This window comes from Homo sapiens, chromosome 5 (assembly GCF_000001405.40).
Source record: "Homo sapiens chromosome 5, GRCh38.p14 Primary Assembly".
NCBI classification, from domain to species: Eukaryota; Metazoa; Chordata; class Mammalia; order Primates; family Hominidae; genus Homo; species Homo sapiens.
The window spans coordinates 150529539-150548473 of record NC_000005.10 but is presented as its reverse complement, the minus strand read 5'-3'; the positions used below and the strand labels follow the sequence as shown (position 1 = coordinate 150548473).

Genomic DNA, 18935 nt, shown 5'->3' with positions numbered 1-18935 from the left:
TGGTGAGAAAGAGTTGGAGGCTCTCCGCTAACCACAGCAAGCCAGTACTGTGACTGCCCTCACAAGGGTCAGGGACAGCAGCTACCTGGTTGGCGTGATAGGCACTGAGCCAGCGCTCGATGTGGGTGGCGTACCAGCCAGGGACCAGGCAGCGGTTCTGGAGGGCACGCAGCTTCGAGGATGCGTCAGAGCCGGCGGTAATCACCTCATGGAAGGTGTACTTTAGGGCCACTGGGTCGTCATGGGCTCGCTGGTGCTGCAGGCAAGGAAAGAGGGTCAGCATGCCACTTGGAGGACACAAAGGAAGTGGCCTGAGAGGGACAGCAGCCCGCAAGGTGGCCAGAAGATCCTCAGCTGGACCCAGGAGCTCTGGGTCTGAGTCCTGGCTCTGCCTCTCACTGTGTCCAGTGTCAAGGGAAGCCACTGGTCCCAGAGCCCCAACTTCTCCATCTTTGAAATACGGGAACTGGACGAAATCAGGGTTTCCTGATGCCAGGCATGGTGGCTCATGCCTGTAATCCCAGAATTTTGGGAGGCTGGGGTGGGTGGATCACTTGAGGTCAGGAGTTCGAGACCAGCTGGCCAATGTGGCGAAACCCCGTCTCTACTAAAAATACAAAAATTAGCTGGCATGGTGGTGCACACCTGTGGTCCCAGCTACTCGGAAGGCTGAGGCACGAGAATCGCTTAAACTCGGGGGGTGGAGGTTGCAGTGAGCCAAGATCACGCTGCTGCACTGTTGTCATATATAGAAGGCAACCACTCACAAATGGCAATAAAAACAATGTTCTCAAACTCCAGCCAGACACAAATGTGTGCAACAGGCCCTGAACATGCTCTCTTTGTTGAAAGCAGAGGTTGACAGTGTTAGAAAGGACGTAAGACCACTTGCACTAAAGTGAGCATTTCTCCTTTATGGAAATCAGAAGGACTGGGAAAGAACTATAAAAGGGAGACTGGCTGGTCTGAATCACTTAAAATAATGCCATGGGAGGTCCGAATCTGCAGAATTCACTAAGTCCAGAAAGCCAGAGCTCAGGCACCTGTGCGACAGGCACTATCCCCCAGCCGCCAACCCCCTCCCCTGAGGATCACACACAGCCCAGGGCTGGGGCAATATGGTGCACAGCAGCGTCCTCCTCGTCCCGACCTCCTTCTGAGACAGGCCCCCACCCTTCCTCTCCTCCAACATCTTCCCAGGTCCTCCTGGGGAGAATGAGTCTCCCTTCTCCTTCTATCCCTTACCCCTCTTGATCATGGACAGAAAAAGGAATAGGGTCTTAGATTTAGAAGACTTGGATTCAAATGCCACCACATGAAACTTGCTGAAACTTGGTTTTCTAATCTTTGAGAAGGGGACACAAACGTGAAACCCCTCCTCTGCCTTCTAGAAACCAGCTGTGACTCTCCAGTAAGGTGCAGATGTACAGCAGTGTCAGTGCAGAACAGGGACTGACCCAACCTGTGGCGGCTCTCTCTCTACCCTACGTTCCCCCATGAAAGCAGACTGCCCATTCCCTGCACAGCGCCAGGAGGCGGGGGCACACAGCACGGCAGAAAACAGAAACACTTGACAAGTGTTTCTCGGTTTTCTTCTCCTAAAGAAAAAGCCACAGGAAAGCAGACATCAGGGCATAAACAGAAGCCCTAGAGAACAAGAGTAAGAAGGGGCTTCCTCACCAGCCTCAGAGAGTGGCAGGAGGAGAGACTTCCATGGGAGCAAAGAGGAGGCAGGTGCCAGCCCTGCGGGAGACCGCAAGGTCCCAGGCGGGAGACAGCCACTGTCACATCTGAGAAAAGAGCCTCAAAGCAGGGTGGGAACTATGACAGTGGCCAGGCCTGAAGAGGCTGTCCCAGCCAGGACAGGGGACACTTCTCTGGCAACCATGGGCTAAGACCCAGGGCCCCACCCCCTCCCCAACACCAAGCACAGGCCTGGTCTGCTGGGTTAACGAGGATGCTCAGGACCTCGGCCTGGACAACAGGGTGGCTTTCTGCTGGGGCGCCACTTCTGAATCACAGTGCTTGGCTGTGTGGCATAATCACAGGAATGCTGGCAGCCAGGGGAGGGACTCCGCCTACCCCACCAGGGAAGGCCTAAAAGCATTCCTGCAGGCTCAGTGGGCTGGCAGGCAGGAAATTAAGTCAGGCCATAGGCATTAAAGAGAGCTCTGGTTCAGCTGGGCGCAGTGGCTCATGCCTGTAATGCCAGCACTTTGAGAGGCCGAGGCGGGAAGATCACGAGGTCAGGAGTTTGAGACCAGCCTGGCCAACATGGTGAAACCCTGTCTCTACTAAAAATACAAAAATTAGCCTGGCGTGGTGGTGCACACCTGTAATACCAGCTACTTGGGAGGCTGAGGCAGGAGAATCACTTCAAACTGGAAGGCGGATGTTGCAGTGAGTTGAGATCAGGCCACTGCACTCCAGCCTGGGCTACAGAGCAAGACTCTGTCTCAAAAAAAAAAAAAAAAAAAAAAAAGACAGCTCTGGTTCATACATGCCCCAGATAGGGGCTTGGATCCACACCCTCTCCATGTATCACAGCCCAGGTAACTGCCTCACTTGGTCAGGTGCCTGCCTTCTCCACTGTGAATGGCAGTCTTGTGTCTTGTCCTTCCATGAGCTCCCACTCCCACCCGTGTCCAGCGAGGAAGCTATAGTCAGTATGATCCTGCATTGCTGTTCACCAAATCTAAGCTTCCTCTAGGCGTAACCAGCCTCCACCTCTTGTCAGTGTCAGAAGTAGAGGCAGGACCCCGCATGACACTAGGCAGGTGGACAGTCAACTGGTGGCTGGCTTTCCATTTCCGCCTGTCTCCTCCACCAAGGACTCTATTCTCAGCCATCACCACGCTCCAGGCGCCTGGCTCAGGGCTGGCACACAGTAGGTGCTTACTAATAATATCTGTTGAGTGAGTGAGTAACTGAGTGTCAGACGGAGCCCTGTGTTCCCGACACAGGGACTCCACCCCAGCCCCACTCACCTGGTACCAGGAATAGGCCCGGTCCGCGGGGTTGATGAGGATGGTCAGGACCTTGGCTTTGGGCAAGAGGGCTGCTGCCCGCCGGGGCGCCACTTCTGAATCAAAGTAGTTGGCGCTTTTCTCAAAGTAGAAGTCGGAGGTGGTGTTGGAAGGGATGGGGAAGAACTCCATGTACCTGCAGGAAGCCCAGAGAGGCGGCTCACAGACAAAACTCATGAGGAGGGGGCTAAGGGAATGCAGCACAAGGGCGAGGCACTGGGGTAGAATGTCCTCAGAGAGCAAGTGGGAAGCTTTGCTCCCAACCAAACAAGGACTTGCCTCCAGTGGGGATTCTGGAGGGGAATGGCCTCTTGGCAGCCTCCCTGTTTCAAATTCGTTCCTTTTCCAGAAGACTCTGGAGTTGGGAGGATCTGAAGACTTGTGGGTGCGCCGGCAGTTGCAGGTCATGGGGAGGGGGTAATGCCCCTCAATCCTAAACTCTAGGATCCCGCCCCCTCAGCTGCTCCAGGCTTAACTGCCAGGGCTGTCACTCTCTCTGCCTCTAGGGGGCGAGCTGGGGCTCAGAGTGGCTCCAGGACTGCCCCAGGGAGGCTGGCACAGAGCAGAGGGGGCCTCCAGAGGGCGGACTTTCTTTCCTGACCTGGGGGAACACCTTCTAGGCCGTCACTGTGGACCAGGACCTCCTGCTACCCACAACCCCTCCCCAGCCTGCTGTGGGTGAGCACGGCTTTCCAGACTAATGCCCATATCCCACCAGAGCAATGGCCACCTCTGGATGAAGGAACCTCTGGAAACCAAAGGAACACTCCAGACCCTCCCAGGGGAATCTACCTATGCAAACTCAGGGTCCAACTTCTGGGGCTTGTGGGAAGCAAAGTCCACTCTCATGAAGGGTACAGGGTCCCTATCCTATCCTGTGAGGTGGGGCTGATCCAGGCTGGTCCCAAGGATGTGCTTCATCAGAGCGTTCTGGGGGCCTGCTGGATTCCTGCACCCCACTTTAGACCTACCTACAAAATCAAGCTCTTGGGAATTGGGCCAAGGAATTACGTCTTCTCTCATCTTTCTGAATTTTCTTTGCATGTCCACAATCCTTTGTTTACAATATCTCAATTGAGAAAGCTTTGAAAACACAGGCTTTGTTTCCTAGGTTTGTAGCAAAGCCATTTGGCAACAAAACCTGACTTATTCCTCTTACTTAGTGTAAATATTCACATACTTTGCTACAGACATATTAATGAATTTGCTAACAGGGTGCTGCCCCAGGTGTCGCTGAAGATGTTACTAAATATATGGTTTCGCACCACATTACCTTTCTAAAACCTGAAAAATGTTGACTTCCAATAATTCATCTGACCACACTAGATTTTAGACAAGAGACTGTGGAGATGTTAGAAATGTAGGTAGATGGGCCGGGCGCAGTGGCGCACGCCGTAATCCCAGCACTTTGGGAGGCCGAGGCGGGCAGATCACGAGGTCAGGAGTTCAAGACCAGCCTGACCAACATGGCAAAACCTCGTCTCTACTAAAAATACAAAAATTAGCCAGGCATGGTGGCGGGCACCTGTAGTCCCAGCTACTTGGGAGGCTGAAGCAGGAGAATCACTTGAACCCGGGAAGCAGAGGTTGCAGTAAGCCGAGATCGCGCCACTGCACTGCAGCCTGGGTGACAGAGCGAGATTCCATCTCAAAAAAAAAAAAAAGAAAGACAGAAGGCCCATAACCTCTCCACCCAGGGAACCCACTGACATAAAAATAATAAATAATGGTAATACATGGACAAGGTTTAAAAAGGCAAACTTTGCAGTCCATGCACGTGATGATTGGGTGTTCACACACGTGTGAGGTGTACCCACCTCGAACCTTGTTATGATCTCAGCACATTACCTACCTGACATGAAACATTTTTTAAAAAGAAAGAAAAAAGGCAAATAGAGAAAGATGCCAACTGAAAAGGTGGAGAGTAAAACCATCTCTGCTCTGGCCCCCACACCCTTAAGGGAACCTCTACTAGGACCCTCTGCTGGGAACCTCTACAAAGGTAACCTCTGCAGGCTCTGGTGGGAAGTGGCAATCTTAATGACTTCCCCAAGTGACGCCCAAAGACCAGCGACCTGTCCCTGAAGGGCCCACAAGAACACCTCTGCTTCACAGTCAGCCACACGCAGTGAGGAGAGCCAGAACATTTGGATTTCCGACCTTGGGACCCTGGGCAAACCCTTCTCCTCCCCAAGACTCAGGATGTTTCTCTGCAAGCAAGGGAGGGGTGGACTTCGACCTCAGCGTCTGACTACAGGCGGTAGAGCAAAGGGGCAAAGGGCCTCCTCATCGAGTGTCCTGTCTATGACAACGCTGTCACACCATGATTCAAGGGTCACTGCACTTTGTCCCTGTTTACAGGAATGACAGCTGTGTGTGAGCAAGCTCCAGCTGCTTCCTGCTGTGGCCACAGCAGACTCCTGGGAGGCCCCAGGATGGCCTTCCCGTCCCGCTGTGGACAGAAAGGCCAACTCACCAGTCGATGCCTTTGTGATAGTTGTGGCCATTAAAAAACTGGATCTCCTCAAAGGTCTCAGAGCTGGGGTAGTTGCTGCTTAGGTCAGGGTGCATGCCCAGGAACAGGTAGAGGGCAGTGGTGCCTGTGGGGAGGGTAGACACCTGAGACCCAGGGCCCAGCCCCCAGCCAAAAGATAGAGTCTGGGTTCTGGGCCTAGCTCCCCACGACCCACTGGGGGCTCCTGGGAAGGTCTCTGCCTTTCTCTGGTCTTAGCTTCTTCATCTGTGCAATGAAGGAATTACTAAATCCAGGGTGGCAAATATATGGCATGCATGTGAACACCGCAACTCCTGTACCTACTACGGACATCGCTAATCTATCACAGCACTCTTCACTAAACGAGGACGTGGCCTCAGAATCTGCCTCACCACTGCACTCTGGTAGCCATGTTTAACTGACTGCTGTCCCCTCAGCATCCCAGAAGAGCTGGTCCTTTCCAGCTCTGGGCCTCTGTCCTCTGGCACTTGGTAGGAGCTCAGGGAAAAGGGAGTTTGTCACCCTGCAGTTCTGTTAATGTGAAATTCTTAAAGAACTAAGAAATCTTGTTCCTATGTCTCTTCTTCCCAATACCCTCTGCTCACTCATGCACCCTGCCCTACCTCCTCCTCAGTGAGTTCATTCACTTTCTGTGGTATAAGTCTATGGTTTACATGCTATAATGAGAGAGCCCAGAAGAGAAGGAGGCTATAGAGTTTGGCAATTAAGAGTATATGTTTCAGGGTCACAGAGATCAGAGTTCAGGCCTGGAATTGCCATTGCCTAACTGAATGTGTTAAGGGAAGTCACTTGACTTCTCTGAACCTTGAGTTTCTGTCTACAAAATGGGAGTGCCCATTTGTGCCTTGCAGGGTTGTATGGATGACAAATGCTTAGCAATCATGTCACTGCTTCTCCCTACTGCACCTCTGGCAGACATAGCTAATTGATCACAGTCCTCTTTGTACCAGTTTTGCTTGGCATTACTCAAACTAGCAGAGCAACTGATCTGGGCTTCTCTGACTGGACTTGGAGACTCCCAGGATAATGCAGGGAGAGCTCCCTGAGGCTATGGTTCAGGATAAATAGGAGAACTCCAGGCCCCTCCTCCACCTCTTTCCCCTCCATACTGACAGGCAATTTGTGTTCACCCCAACTTCATTCCTACTTCCTGGGAAAGAGGGAGCAAATTATCCGGGAGTGGGGCCAGGGCAAGGCAGTCCTCAGAATTCTGTGGCTGAGACAGCAGGCAGTTGGGGAAGCTCGGTCAAGAGCAGAGAGACCTGCCTGTTTTCTGGGGGCCGATGATGAGGAGCTTTGGGAAGCGGTCACACGTCTTCTCCTTGGACCAGATGTCTTTGTGACGTTTGTCCTCGCAGGGGTCCTAAAACAACAGTGGAAGGGATGTGTGGGGCGCCCCAGAACCCAGTCAGTGGACTCCCACTGCACATGGATATGTGGCCCTTACAGCCCAATGGGCATGATACCTACATGCTACATGTGTCCTTGTCACATCCCCACCCCCAGACACTGAGCCACTGACAGGCAGGCTCCACTTCTGGTCAGTTTCATGTCCCCCAAAGAGCTCGCAAAATGCCCCTTAGCACGTAACAGGAACTCATAAGCACTTGTTGAATTTAACTGGACAAGCTGCGTCTGAACCAGGGGGTCAAGAAACGCTTCCTATAAAGTTTAATTAATCTTTTGGTAAGTGTTTAGTAAATATTTTAGGTTTGGGGCATGGAAGTTTCCATTGCAACTACTCGACTCTGCCGTCATAGCATGAAAGCAGCTATAGACAGTAGATACAAGAATGAGCGTGGCTGTCTGCCAATAAAACGTTCTTTACAAAAACAGGTCTCAGGCTGGTTTTGGCCCATGAGTCACGGTTTGTGGACTCCTGGTCTGAACTATGAGACTGTCACCAATTCCAGCTTCTGCTTCCACTTTTTAAAAGCCCGTAGGAGCAGACTTTCCCAAAAACTGGCCCCCAAACCCTCCCATCAATCCCTTTTCCCACTCAGAGCCTGCTGGAGTTAGAAGAGATACAAGAGATTATCTAAGAGCCTGACCAAGACAACGCATTCACTTTCTGTACTTTGTCTGCACTGTGTTCACTTGGAGTTGTTTTTTGTTTTTGAAACAGGGTCTCACTCTGTTGCCCAGGCTGGAGTACAGTGGTGTGATCACAGCTCACTGCAGCCTCAACCTCTAGGCTCAACTGATCCTCCCACCTCTGCCTCACGAGTAGCTGGGACTATAGATGCGCACCATCATGCCCGGCTAATTTTTGTATTTTTTGTAGAGACAGGGTTTCGCCATATTGCCCAGGCTGATCTTGAACTCCTGGGTTCAAGCAATCCAGCCACCTTGGCCTCCTAAAGTATTGGGATTATAGGGGTGAACCACTGCGTCCAGCCCACTCGTTTTTTTAACACTGTTTTTTCCAAGGCTATGTATGACTGCATGCATGTAGGTCTGCGTGGGGAAGTATGTACATGTATGAGCATGCATGTGTGCAAAGGAGTGAACGCACCCATGCTGGTAAGTAGATGGGGACCTGAGTTTACATTCGAGCGAGAGTGTGAAGGCATGATGGCTGAGCCTTGAGTCCATATCTGGAGTGTGTGCCTGTGAGTGGTGGCGTTCCATCCCTGTAGCAACCTGCCCAGGCTGCCCAGCCCCCCACCTGCCAGAGCGGGTCCTTCTCCTCGGAGAAGATCTGGAAGTACTTCTGCGCCAACTGCACAGGGGGCAGTGTCTGCAGCCGGAGGTTCGTCCAGGAGTGCAGGAAGCGCACCAGGTGCTTGAAGGTGTACAGGCCCAGGCGGTCATTCCCATAGTTGGACAGGTGCGTCATGAAGATGCTGATCTGCTCCAGGGGAGGGGAGGAGAGAGGCAGGGCCCATCAGTGTCTGAGCCACCCTCACCGCCAACTCTGACCCTTCTGACCCTGCCTTAGCTTGCAAGGCTCCTGATGACCAGTGGAAGTTACGCTGGCGCTGTCAACAAACTCGCTGCGAGTACTTGGATGAGGTGACAGACGAACCAGGCCTGACTGACCCCAAATATTACAATCCTGAAATGGAAAGCAGACCCAATGTGGGAGCTATTTGGGTTTTATTTTGTAAATGTTAGGGGTGGGGTGCATGGAAGATAAAGAGTACTCAGCCCACAGAGCTGAATAACAACCACCACTTGAAGTTTATTTAATATTATTAAAGCAGAGGTAATTGTTTGCATTTTACAAATAAGGAAAGCGAGACCTAGAAAACTCAAATGTTGTTCATATATGTGTGTGTATCTGTGTATGTGTGTATACACACATGAGCAAAGACTGAAGGGAACATGCATAAAAATGCCAACACTTTTGTATTAAAGTACATGATTAGGAAAGGAAAAAAAAAGCATGCTCGGATTCTTTAGCCAAGGTCACACAGCCGAGGCAGGGCCAGTGCTGGAGAGTGGGTCTCCCAACTGCCAGGCACTCACTCATGCCTCTCCACCCTTTCCTGGCTCCAGGAAGCCTGTGTCAGCTGCAGACAGGCTGTGCAGCAGCCCCTTCTCACCAGCAGCCATGGGCTGTGGAGCACTCACAGGATTGAGGAGCACGGTGAGGAAGAGCTCGCCCCCGTTGATGATCTTGTCCAGCTCACTGGAGCCGCCAGGGTACTCGTTGTAGAAGATGGTGTGTGTGAAGAGGCCGCAGGTCTGCCGTGGGAGAACCTGAGGAGGGGGTGGGGGAGAGGAGCTATGGTGCCTTCTGGCATGAGGGTGGTGGGAGGACTCTTCCTCAGAGGAAGAAGGCCCAGCTGCTCCTCAGAAAGGCAGTCTCCATGTGGTCGCACAGCCCCTACCCTTGGGTGCAGCCTACAGCACAGCGTTCCCCCCAGTGAACTACAGGCCCTTGCCATTTTACAAACTTCACTGCTATTCTCTGCACAAAATGAGCAGGCCTCAAAGTAACAGAGTGGGAATGTTTCTGGAAACTTGGGACTGCTGCAGCCACGGCCCCTGCCTGGCCCTCTCTGAAGCAGCAATCCCAGACATGTTCTGCAAGCCCCCTTGCAACATTAGAACCTCACCTGGTGACACTCGTTGTCACACACTGGCTTAGCCATTTGTCGTCTGTCTCCCCTCATGAAACTGTGAGCTCCAAGGGAGCAGGGAATGGGCCTGCCTTGTCACCACCTCATCCCTGGAGTTCAGGGTTGAGGACCTAAAGGAGTGCCTGGAGTTCAGCACGAGGGCCTGGTGCTGAGGTCAGTGGATGGATGGATGGACTGATGGACAAATGTACAAACCTTGCCTACCCACTGCTGCCCCAGCTCAACTGATGACAACTCATCCTTCCAGCACCTCAGACTAAAAACCCTGCAGTCATCTTGGACTCCTCTCTTCCTCCCACACCCTATATCTAACTCATCTAACCACAGGCCTAACTATTCTAAGCCCAGAGTATGGCCACATCCCAACATTGGGCCCTGGTCCAAGCTGCTGCCACCTCTGGTCTGGAAGACTGCAGTGCCTCCTAACTGGTCTCCCTGCTGCCACTTTTGTCCCCTACAGTCTCTGCTCCACACAACAGCCAGAATGATAGAAATCCCTTTCAAAGATGAGTCAGATCATGCTCCATTCAAAACCTTCCCATCTCAGCCTAAAAGCCCATGGCCATCCAATGGCTGGCCTTACATGGCCCTATCGATCTGGTCCATCACCCACCCCGACCTCATCTACCACCATCCCTCACTCCCCTCCAGCCATCCCGGCCTCCTATTTGGCCTTCAAACACAGCCAGCACAGCCCGCTTCAGGGCCTTTGCACTTGTGTTCTCTGCCTTGAGTGCTCTTCCTCATGTGGCAGCGTGGCTTATTCCAGGAAGGCCCACCTAGCCACCTTATTTAAACCAGCTTCTCTTGCCAGCATTCCTTCCTTCCATTCCCTGCTTAACTTTGTCCGTGGCACTCATCACCATCTGACCACTGTATATTTTACACATGTATTGGGGGAAACCAACCCCCGATATTCAGCATGGGTCCTTTTCTATTTTCCCTAAGTGTCTGTCAGTCTGAGAAATAAAGGGAAAGAGTACAGAAGAGAGAAATTTTAAAGCTGGGTGTCCAGGGGAGATGTCACATGTTGGCAGGTCCTGTGATGACCCCCAAGTCACAAAACCAGCAAGTTTTTATTAGTGATTTTCGAAAGGGGAGGGAGCGTACGAATAGGGTGTGGGTCACAGAGATCACATGCTTCCCAATGTAATAAAATATCACAAAGCAAATGGAGGCAGGGCGAGATCACAGGACGGGGCGAAATTAAAATTGCTAATGAAGTTTCGGGCACACATTGTCATTGATAACATCTTATCAGCAGACAGGGTTTGAGAGCAGACAACCAGTCTGACCAAAATTTGTTAGGTGGGAACTTCCTTGTCCTAATAAGCCTGGGAGCGCTATGGGAGACCGGGGCTTATTTCATCCCTTATCAACAACTGTAAAAGACAAACGTTCCCAAAGCGGCCATTTCAGAGACCTCCTCTTGGGAACGCATTCTCTTCTTAGGGATGTTTCTTGCTGAGAAAAAGAATTCAGCGATATTTCTCCTATTTGCTTTTGAAAGAAGAGAAATATGGCTCTGTTCCACCTGGCCCACAGGCAGCCAGACTTTAAGGTTATCTCCCTTGTTCCCTGAACATCGCTGTTATCCTGTTCTTTTTTCAAGGTTCCCAGATTTCATATTGTTTAAACAATTTGTGCAGTTAACACAATCATCACAGGGTCCTGAGACGACATTCATCCTCAGCTTATGAAGATGACGGGATTAAGAGATTAAAGTAAAGACAGGCATAGGAAATCACAAGAGTATTGATTGGGGAAGCGATAAATGTCCATGAAATCTTCACAATTTATGTTCTTCTGCCATGGCTTCAGCCAGTCCCTCTGTTCGGGGTCCCTGACTTCCCACAACACACATGCATGAGCATATGGTCTGTCTCCTGCCACTAGAATGTCAGGTCTACAAGGGCAGGAACTTTCCTCCGTTCTGTGCATTTCTGTGTCCCCAGTGCCAAGGAAAGGGATAGATGTGAGGCTGGGCACAGTGGCTCACGCCTGTAATTCCTGGCACTTTGGGAGGCCAAGGTGGGCAGATCCCCTGAGGTTGGGAGTTCGAGACCAGCCTGACCAACATGGAGAAACCCTGTCTCAACTAAAAATACAAAATTATCCAGGCATGGTGGTGTATGCCTGTCTTCCCAGCTACTCGGGAGGCTGAAGCAGGAGAATTGCTTGAACCCAGGAGGCAGAGGTTGCAGTGAGCTGAGATTGTGCCATTGCACTCCAGCCTAGATAAGAGTGAAACTCTGTCTCAAAAAAGAAGAAAGAAAGAAAAAAAAAGGGATAGATGCATGGTAGAAGCCCCAGGGGAAAAAAAAATTTTTTTTTTTTTTGAGACAGAGTCTCACTTTGTCACCTAGGCTGGAGTGCAGTGGCGCAATCTTGGCTCACTGCAGCCTCGATCTCCCAGGTTCAAGTGATCCTCCTGCCTCAGCCCTGCAAGTAGCTGGGACTACAGGCATGCACCACCACACCTGGCTAATCACCAGGCATATTTTTTTTTTAGTACTTTTTTAGTAGAGATGGGGTTTCACTACATTGCCCAGGCTGGTATGAAACTCCTAGGCTCAAGCAATCTGCCTGCCTTGGCCTCCCAAAGTGCTAGGATTACAGGTGTGAGCCATCAGGCCCAGCCAAGAAAAAAATTTTTAATCAGCAAAAAGACTGTAACAGAGCCCTGTCCCACATCCTCATCAGAAACCTCTTTCAAGAATGCTGATTATTGCTTGATCCTCTGTCACAAAAGCTAAGAAAGAGCTCATGAAAGGGGTCGGAGTGGCAGCCCACCTTCCCTGGGGCAGAGAGCCTCGGGTGCCAGAGGAGGCAGCAGAAGCTGATCTGCAACCCCTAAGCCAGCAAACCAGAGCCGTGCTTACCAGGACAGCGTATGCACACACATGACAGACTGTGCTCTCCATTCTCCCACCTCCTGGGCTTCCAGGGGCCCACTCACCATGATGCCATTGTGGATGAAGCCACGGCGGTAGCGGGCTGGCTTCAGGTGGGGGTACTCCTCCGTGCTGGTCACGCGGATGCTCCACACCTGCTTCCAAGCCTCGTACAGCTGCACGTGCACGGGGTACACGCCCGAGTGGTGGGGCGCCACTGCATACCCCATGTCTGTGGGAATGCCATGCTCCTAGGGAGAGGATGACCAGGCCAGGGTGAGCATAGGGGTCCTTCCCCTTTGGGCCTTATCCCCCCTTTGTAGAATGGGAGAGAGAAATCAGAGGTTAGGTCGGCATGGCTGCTGGTCTGAGACTTCATGGTAAGATGGGAAGCTGAGGCCTGGGAGGGCAAGGAATGTGCCCAGAATCTCAGTGTGGGCAACTGGCAGAGCTGGGATTAGAACCCAGGTCTCCTGACTCTTGGTCCGGTGCACATGCCTCTAGCACAAAGGACTCAAGTACCCTGTAGTGAGGGACAAGGACGAGGGCCTTTCCTACCTTCTCTTCATTCTACCTAGCACCTAGGGCTCGTTCCCTCCTCATTGACCACCTCTTCCAGCTTTCCAGAGCCTCCCCTTCTAGTAAGAGCTTGGGCACAGGAAACAAATGGCCTGAGTTTAAGTCCCAGCTGGACCTCTTAGTAGCTGGTGTGACCTCCCTGAGCCTTGGTTTCTTGTCTGTAAAGGGGTTATTCTCTTGGGGCTTCAAGGAGACAGTGGCTATAAAGGCAGCTCTCCCTTGGCCCTGGCCCAGAGGTGTTAGTAAAAATCCGTCAGAGCAGACTGCAAAAGCAGCAAGAGGCCAGCAGTCTGGACCTCCAGCCCAGCCCTTAGCCCGCCCCGCTCTGCCCTGCAAGGAATCTTACTCACGACAGCGAACTTCTTGTTCAAGGCCATCTGCTCGGCCAACACGGACTGGTTGTGGAAAAGGTGGGGCTGCATGTGGCTCCACATGTGGGGGAACCACCAGAACTCCTTCACATACGACAGCAGCAGATCATCCCCAGCGTCCTCAGCATTGGTACCTGCAGCAACACAGGCAGCTCAGAACCACCCACTGGGCCATGAGGCCCTCTAACCTGGGCCTGTGCCTGGGGATGGGAGAGCATGGCCAGAGCCCACCCAGGAGCTGCCTGGAAGAGTTATCTGGGCTACAGCACAGGAGCAGACAGAGCCCCAGCCCAGAGCCCTGAATTCTAGTCTAGAGTGTGCCCTTGACTCAGTGGGGGACCTTGGCCAAGACTATCTGCTCTCTAGATCCTTGGGACCATCTGCACAATTCAGGGTCTGGAGTCAATGATCTCAAGGGTTTCTTCTACCTCTGACATACCTGCTCTGATTCTATTCCAATGATCCAAATCAGGTCACTTGTCTTTTATCTAATTATCTATGGAAGCTCTTTGTATATATACAGGATGTTTGACCCTCTATCTCAGACATATTACTATAACCACCTCTGATATGCTAAGGGTTATGAATATAAAAAACAACCAGGTGCAGTGGTTCACACTTGAAACCCCAGCACTTTGGAAGGCCAAGGTGGGAGGATCGTTTGAGCCTAGAGGTTTGAGACCAGCCTAGGCAACATAGTGCAAGGCCCCATCTCTACAAAAATTTTTAAAATATTAATAGCCAGGCATAGTGGCATGCACCTGTAGTACCTGCTACTTGGGAGGCTAAGGCAGGAGGATTGCTTGATCCCAGGAGTTCAAGGCTGCAGTAAGCTGTGATTGCACCACTGTACTCCTGCCTGGGTGACAGAGAGAGGTCCCGTCTCTAAAAATAAATAATTTTTTTTCTTTTTGTTTTGAGATGGAGTCTTACTCTGTCACCCAGGCAGGAGTACAGTTGTGCGATCATAGCTCACTGCAGCCTTGAACTCCTGGGATCAAGCAATCCTCCTGACTTAGCCTCCCAAGTAGCTGATACTACAGGAGCACACCACCACGCCGGGCTATTTTTTCTATTTTTTGTAGAGATGGGGTTTTGCCATGTTGACCAAGGTAGTCCTGAACTCCTGACCTCAAATAATATGCCCACCTCACCCTCCCAAAGTGCTGGGATTACAGGCGTGAGCCACAGCGCCCAGCCAAAAATATATAAAAAATTTTAAAAAGAATATAAAAAATACAGACAGACAACCCAGGATCACTCCTATTTGGCTTTGGGGCTATGTTGCATATACCCCTCCATCTGCTGAATTATTGAATAAATGGTTTTCTTAGAATTCAAGAGAGGTTGTCTCACTGAGGCCTGGGCAGAAGGCAGCTAGGGGGAATGGTCACTGCAGATGACCAGCTGAGGGGTTCTGCCCAGTCCCTGAAGGACAGCAGATGAAGAGAGGACAGCAAGTGAGAGAGCCCCAAAGAGGAAGGAAAGTGCGCACCAAGCAACCTATAGCCCTCACCCTCAACCCTTAGGACTCTAAAATAAACCCATGACACTGGTCATCCAAGGTGGGTACAATTACAGGGCATCTTCACTTTCTATGCTACATGTTTCTGTAATGTTCTTAAAACTCAACCAGCTTCTTTTATAAGCAGAAATAATACACATAATTGTAAAAGATAGGAGGGAGAGGCAAGAGGGAGAAGATGCCCCACCCAGGCCAGCTCAGCCCGAAAGGACAGGGAGGGACAAGCGGCTGCTGTTGCTGCCGCTGCTGTTGTCCCCAGATGGCCTCTGCCTGGGTTGTGACTGCTCTTGTAGGCTGTTGGCTCCACGGGGGCAGAGGGGTCACCTCTGCCTCTAATGTGGGCCAGTAAACCCACCCGCTGCCCTCATGGATGGGTGCTTTGAGGGTTTGGGTGCTGAGGAGTCCTGGAAGTTGCTAGTGAGGGCAGGGGCAGGCCCACTTACCTGTGTGGAAGAATTTCCCTGAGTAGCCCAGGTTGAAGGTGAAGTTTGGGATGTGTGCGCGTAGTTCGTTCTGTGTGTCAAACAGGGCCTAGGACAGGCAGGGGAGAAAGGAATGAGTGAGGGAAAGCCAGGAGCTCCCTGCTTTTCCCACTGAGGGCAGTGAAAAAACGTGGAAATCCCTTGTTCAAAAATTATAAAGAATGTCAAGGACGGCGTGGTGGCTCATGCCTGTAATCCCAGCAGTTTGGGAAGCTGAGGTGGGTGGATCACTTGAGGTCAGGAGTTCAAGACCAGCCTGGCCAACATGGCAAAACCCAGTCTCTACTGGAAATACAAAAATTAGCCGGGCATGGTGGCACGAGCCTGTAATCCCAGCTACTTGGGAAGCTGAGGCAGGAGAATCGCTTGAACCCGGGAGGCGGAGGTGCAGTGAGCCGAGATCGCACCACTGGAGCCAAGATCACTCCAGCCTGGGTGACAGAGCGAGATTCCGTCTCAAAAAAAAAAGAATGTCAAGAAGGCAACAGCAGGCATTAAACCACATAATGGGCTCCCTCTGAGCGTGGGGCTCTGTGTGGCTGCACAGATCACATACTCTTGAAACCAGCCCTATGCTGCCGTCCGCCAGGCCTCTGGCAAGGGAAAATCTAGAATCCTACCCAGCTCTGCTATGTGTCCTTGAAAAGGCTTCACATTCCTCTAGGCCTTGGTTTCATCAAATGTAAAACAGGGATGATAATATCTCCCTCATAAGGCTCTTGGAAGAATCAAGTAAGATAACCGCATGTATGCCAGCTATTCGGGAGGCTAAGGCAGGAGGATTGCTTGAGCCCAGCAGTTAGAATCCAACACAGGTCCAACTGTAAGACCCTGCTCTAAAAAGATTAAACAATTGTAAAAAAGATATTGTACGTAAAACTGCCTCACATCTGGTAAGTGATGAAAAATGGTGGCCAATGCTACGTCTGTGGTCACTGCCGCTGTAAGCCTGTGTCTTCATCTATCAAATGTGGAGGATTTCTCTTTGCTGATGGAATGCAGTGCTGACTTTAAAGGGCCATACCCTTTCCAAGGATGGGACACTGTGTGCCCAGCAATGCGGTCTTCCCGCGCACCGTGCACCCAGTACTCTTCGAGTCAATGAGGGGACACTGACACTTGTGAAACAAACACACAGGTGTACTCTGGGGTTAGGACACACGAGCCACAAAGCAGCTCAGAAACCTGTAAGAGCCGCCAGGTGCAGTGGCTCATGCCTGTAATCCCAGCACCCTGGGAGGCTGAGGCAGGCAGATCACCTGAGGTCAGGAGTTCAAAACCAGCCTGACCAACATGGTGAAACCCTGTCTCTACTAAAAATACAAAATTAGCCAGGTGTGGTGGCAGGCGCCTGTAATCCCAGCTATTCGGGAGGCTGAGGCAGAAGAATTGCTTGAACCCAGGAGGCGGAGGTTGCAGGAGCCGAGATAACGTCACTGCACTCCAGCCTGGGCAACAAGAATGAAACTCCATCTCAAAAAAAAAAAAAAAAAGAGAGAAAAAGAAAAAAGAAACCTGTAAGAGCCAGCTATCAGAACACTTTACAAACTAAAAGTCCTGGCCCTCCCCAGGCAATGTAGTCACCATCAGCATCTTACCAGGGCCGTGCACCGCCTGGTGGACGTGCATGCTCCAGCTGTGTGGCCTTGGGCAAGTTACCTCAACTCCCTGAGCCTCAGTGCCCACCTCTGTTAAATGGGACTCAGAACAATACCCACCTCACAGGGCTGCTGTAAGGACCCAATGAAGCAACGGCCAGAAAGGGCTAAGCACAAGGACTCACCAAGCCCTGAATAGGCAGCTGCTATTGGTATTATTTAAATTGCGCTGTACAGCCAGTACTGTACAAGCTAATGAGGCGACATTCATGTCTCTGAAAGAAGGGCTCTGTTGTAGGCTGTGCTTGGGATTAAAGAAAAAAAAAAAACTCTGCCCTTTCTTATTCACAAAAATGTTTAAGGCAAGTAGGATTGTGGCTGGAGAAGCACTTTGCAATCTGGACTGAGCTGAGTGTGTGAAAGAGGGTGCCTCTATTTGTATTTTTGGTTTGTATCCTATTTTTCTATTTCTATTGTTCTATAGAAATGGCTTCAAACTGCTATCATTCCTTTCACTTTAAAAATAGAAAAAATAGGGCCAGGTGCGGTGGCTCATGCTCATAAACCCAGCACTTTGGGAGGCCAAGGTGGGTGCAGCACTTGACTCCAGGAGTTCCAGATCGGCCTGGGCAATATGGCAAAACCTGGGCTCTACAAAAAACTAGCTGGGTAAGCTGGGTATGGTGGCATGTGCCTGTGATCCCAGCTACTCAGGAGGCTGAGGTGGGAGGATTGCTTGTGCTTAGGATCACTTAAGTGAGCTGTGATCCCGCCACTGCACTCCAGCCTGGGTGGCAGAGTAAGACTCTATCTCAAAAAAAAAAAAAAAAAAAAAAAATTTAAAATACGGAAAATTAATAAGAGAGAGAAATTCAGGGCTTATAGGAACACAGTGAGCCCAGGAACCTGATCTCCTCAGGCTCAACCTGACCCTGGACCACAGTCTCTCCAGAACTCACTGGACAGACAGCAAGAACCTGGGTTCCTGCAGGAGAAAATGAGCTTGGGCCACTGGAAGAACACCTCGAGTAGAACACAGAGCAATCTACCTTGCCAGAGGCAGGTGGTGGCACTGCATGAAGACTTAGACTGGAAGGCTAAAACGTTCTTTAAACAGGAGAGCCTTTAAGAGAATGGAATTTCAGGAGGAAACACAATGCGTAAAAGCAGCGCAAAGCAGCACCGCTGGAGCAACTAAGGTGGAGCCTGGAGGGCTGAGCCTGGCACCAAAACATCCCCCTAACCCCCACCCCAGCTATCCAGGCACCTATGGGAGACCCCTGGGCACCAGGAAATAGCCTGAAAACTTCCCATTCACCCCATTTCATCATTTTATAGCTGAGGCTCAGGCATGGGAGGGGACCTGCCCAAGTCACCTAGTTCATTAGGGTCAAATTAGGACTCGATTCAAATTAGGTCTTAACTCCCCAGACAGTGCCTGCTCCCGAATGTCATCCATTCTGCTCTTCTCTAGAGGTGTAAGGAAGAGCAAAGTTCACTCCTGACCAAGGCAGGGCGATGAATGCCACCAGGACCCTCCTTCCAGGCCCCAGGGCCAACCCCTACCAGAGATTTCAGAATTCCTCTTACAAGTCTCTTTTTAAAGCCTCCTGCTAACATCAAAGACAAGCCTGGGTTTGGTGCTAATATGTTTCTAACACTTGCTAATCTCCTATAAGAGAGGACAGGCTGTCAGCAGGCAGCAGAATGTCTCTAGAATTTAATCCCCCTGTTTTGTTTTCATTGGATTTATTGTTATGGTTGCCCTCTATTTATGGCAACTGATCCGGATTTCCTATTTACACTAGGATGCCATCTCCTTTGCGAATAAGTTTAAATAAAATAGTGAGTAGATGA

At 51.1% G+C, this 18935-nt stretch overlaps 1 protein-coding gene and 1 non-coding gene across 3 annotated transcripts in view, besides 6 other annotated features; one reads left to right on the top strand and one right to left on the bottom strand.

Moving 5' to 3' along the window:
- The window catches only part of NDST1 (N-deacetylase and N-sulfotransferase 1), a 60433-nt gene that overhangs the window by 9738 nt on the left and 31760 nt on the right, over positions 1-18935 (bottom strand). The window contains exons 4-12 of one of the 2 annotated variants that reach the window (NM_001543.5): positions 15442-15529; positions 13453-13607; positions 12589-12774; positions 9118-9246; positions 8210-8392; positions 6808-6904; positions 5503-5626; positions 2988-3162; positions 86-256 (exon numbers count right to left, since the gene is read on the bottom strand). In NM_001543.5, coding sequence (NP_001534.1) covers positions 86-256; positions 2988-3162; positions 5503-5626; positions 6808-6904; positions 8210-8392; positions 9118-9246; positions 12589-12774; positions 13453-13607; positions 15442-15529 — 1308 coding nt within the window. The remainder of the gene's footprint in view (positions 1-85; positions 257-2987; positions 3163-5502; positions 5627-6807; positions 6905-8209; positions 8393-9117; positions 9247-12588; positions 12775-13452; positions 13608-15441; positions 15530-18935) is intronic. The other variant, NM_001301063.2, reaches the window with a different exon arrangement.
- Positions 1482-1997: an enhancer, noted in NCBI's record as "H3K4me1 hESC enhancer chr5:149926039-149926554 (GRCh37/hg19 assembly coordinates)". NCBI's record gives its function as "activates a minimal SCP1, AML or CMV promoter by ChIP-STARR-seq in primed H9 embryonic stem cells {active_cell/tissue: H9 hESC(primed)}" and the evidence as "EXISTENCE:reporter gene assay evidence [ECO:0000049][PMID:30033119]".
- Positions 3431-3550: a silencer, noted in NCBI's record as "silent region_16512". NCBI's record gives its function as "represses an Ori minimal core promoter by ATAC-STARR-seq in GM12878 lymphoblastoid cells {active_cell/tissue: GM12878}" and the evidence as "EXISTENCE:reporter gene assay evidence [ECO:0000049][PMID:35858748]".
- On the top strand, positions 4785-4884 carry LOC124901211 (small nucleolar RNA U13). Its single transcript, XR_007059175.1, has one exon. It is a non-coding gene; the product is annotated as a small nucleolar RNA U13 (small nucleolar RNA).
- Positions 5193-5487: an enhancer, noted in NCBI's record as "tiled region #2793; HepG2 Activating DNase matched - State 5:Enh". NCBI's record gives its function as "activates a minimal TATA promoter and a strong SV40 promoter by Sharpr-MPRA in HepG2 cells {active_cell/tissue: HepG2}" and the evidence as "EXISTENCE:reporter gene assay evidence [ECO:0000049][PMID:27701403]".
- Positions 5193-5487: a silencer, noted in NCBI's record as "tiled region #2793; K562 Repressive non-DNase unmatched - State 17:Gen3'". NCBI's record gives its function as "weakly represses a minimal TATA promoter and a strong SV40 promoter by Sharpr-MPRA in K562 cells {active_cell/tissue: K562}" and the evidence as "EXISTENCE:reporter gene assay evidence [ECO:0000049][PMID:27701403]".
- Positions 7786-8285: an enhancer, noted in NCBI's record as "H3K4me1 hESC enhancer chr5:149919751-149920250 (GRCh37/hg19 assembly coordinates)". NCBI's record gives its function as "activates a minimal SCP1, AML or CMV promoter by ChIP-STARR-seq in naive H9 embryonic stem cells {active_cell/tissue: H9 hESC(naive)}" and the evidence as "EXISTENCE:reporter gene assay evidence [ECO:0000049][PMID:30033119]".
- Positions 10563-11335: an enhancer, noted in NCBI's record as "NANOG-H3K27ac-H3K4me1 hESC enhancer chr5:149916701-149917473 (GRCh37/hg19 assembly coordinates)". NCBI's record gives its function as "activates a minimal SCP1, AML or CMV promoter by ChIP-STARR-seq in naive H9 embryonic stem cells {active_cell/tissue: H9 hESC(naive)}" and the evidence as "EXISTENCE:reporter gene assay evidence [ECO:0000049][PMID:30033119]".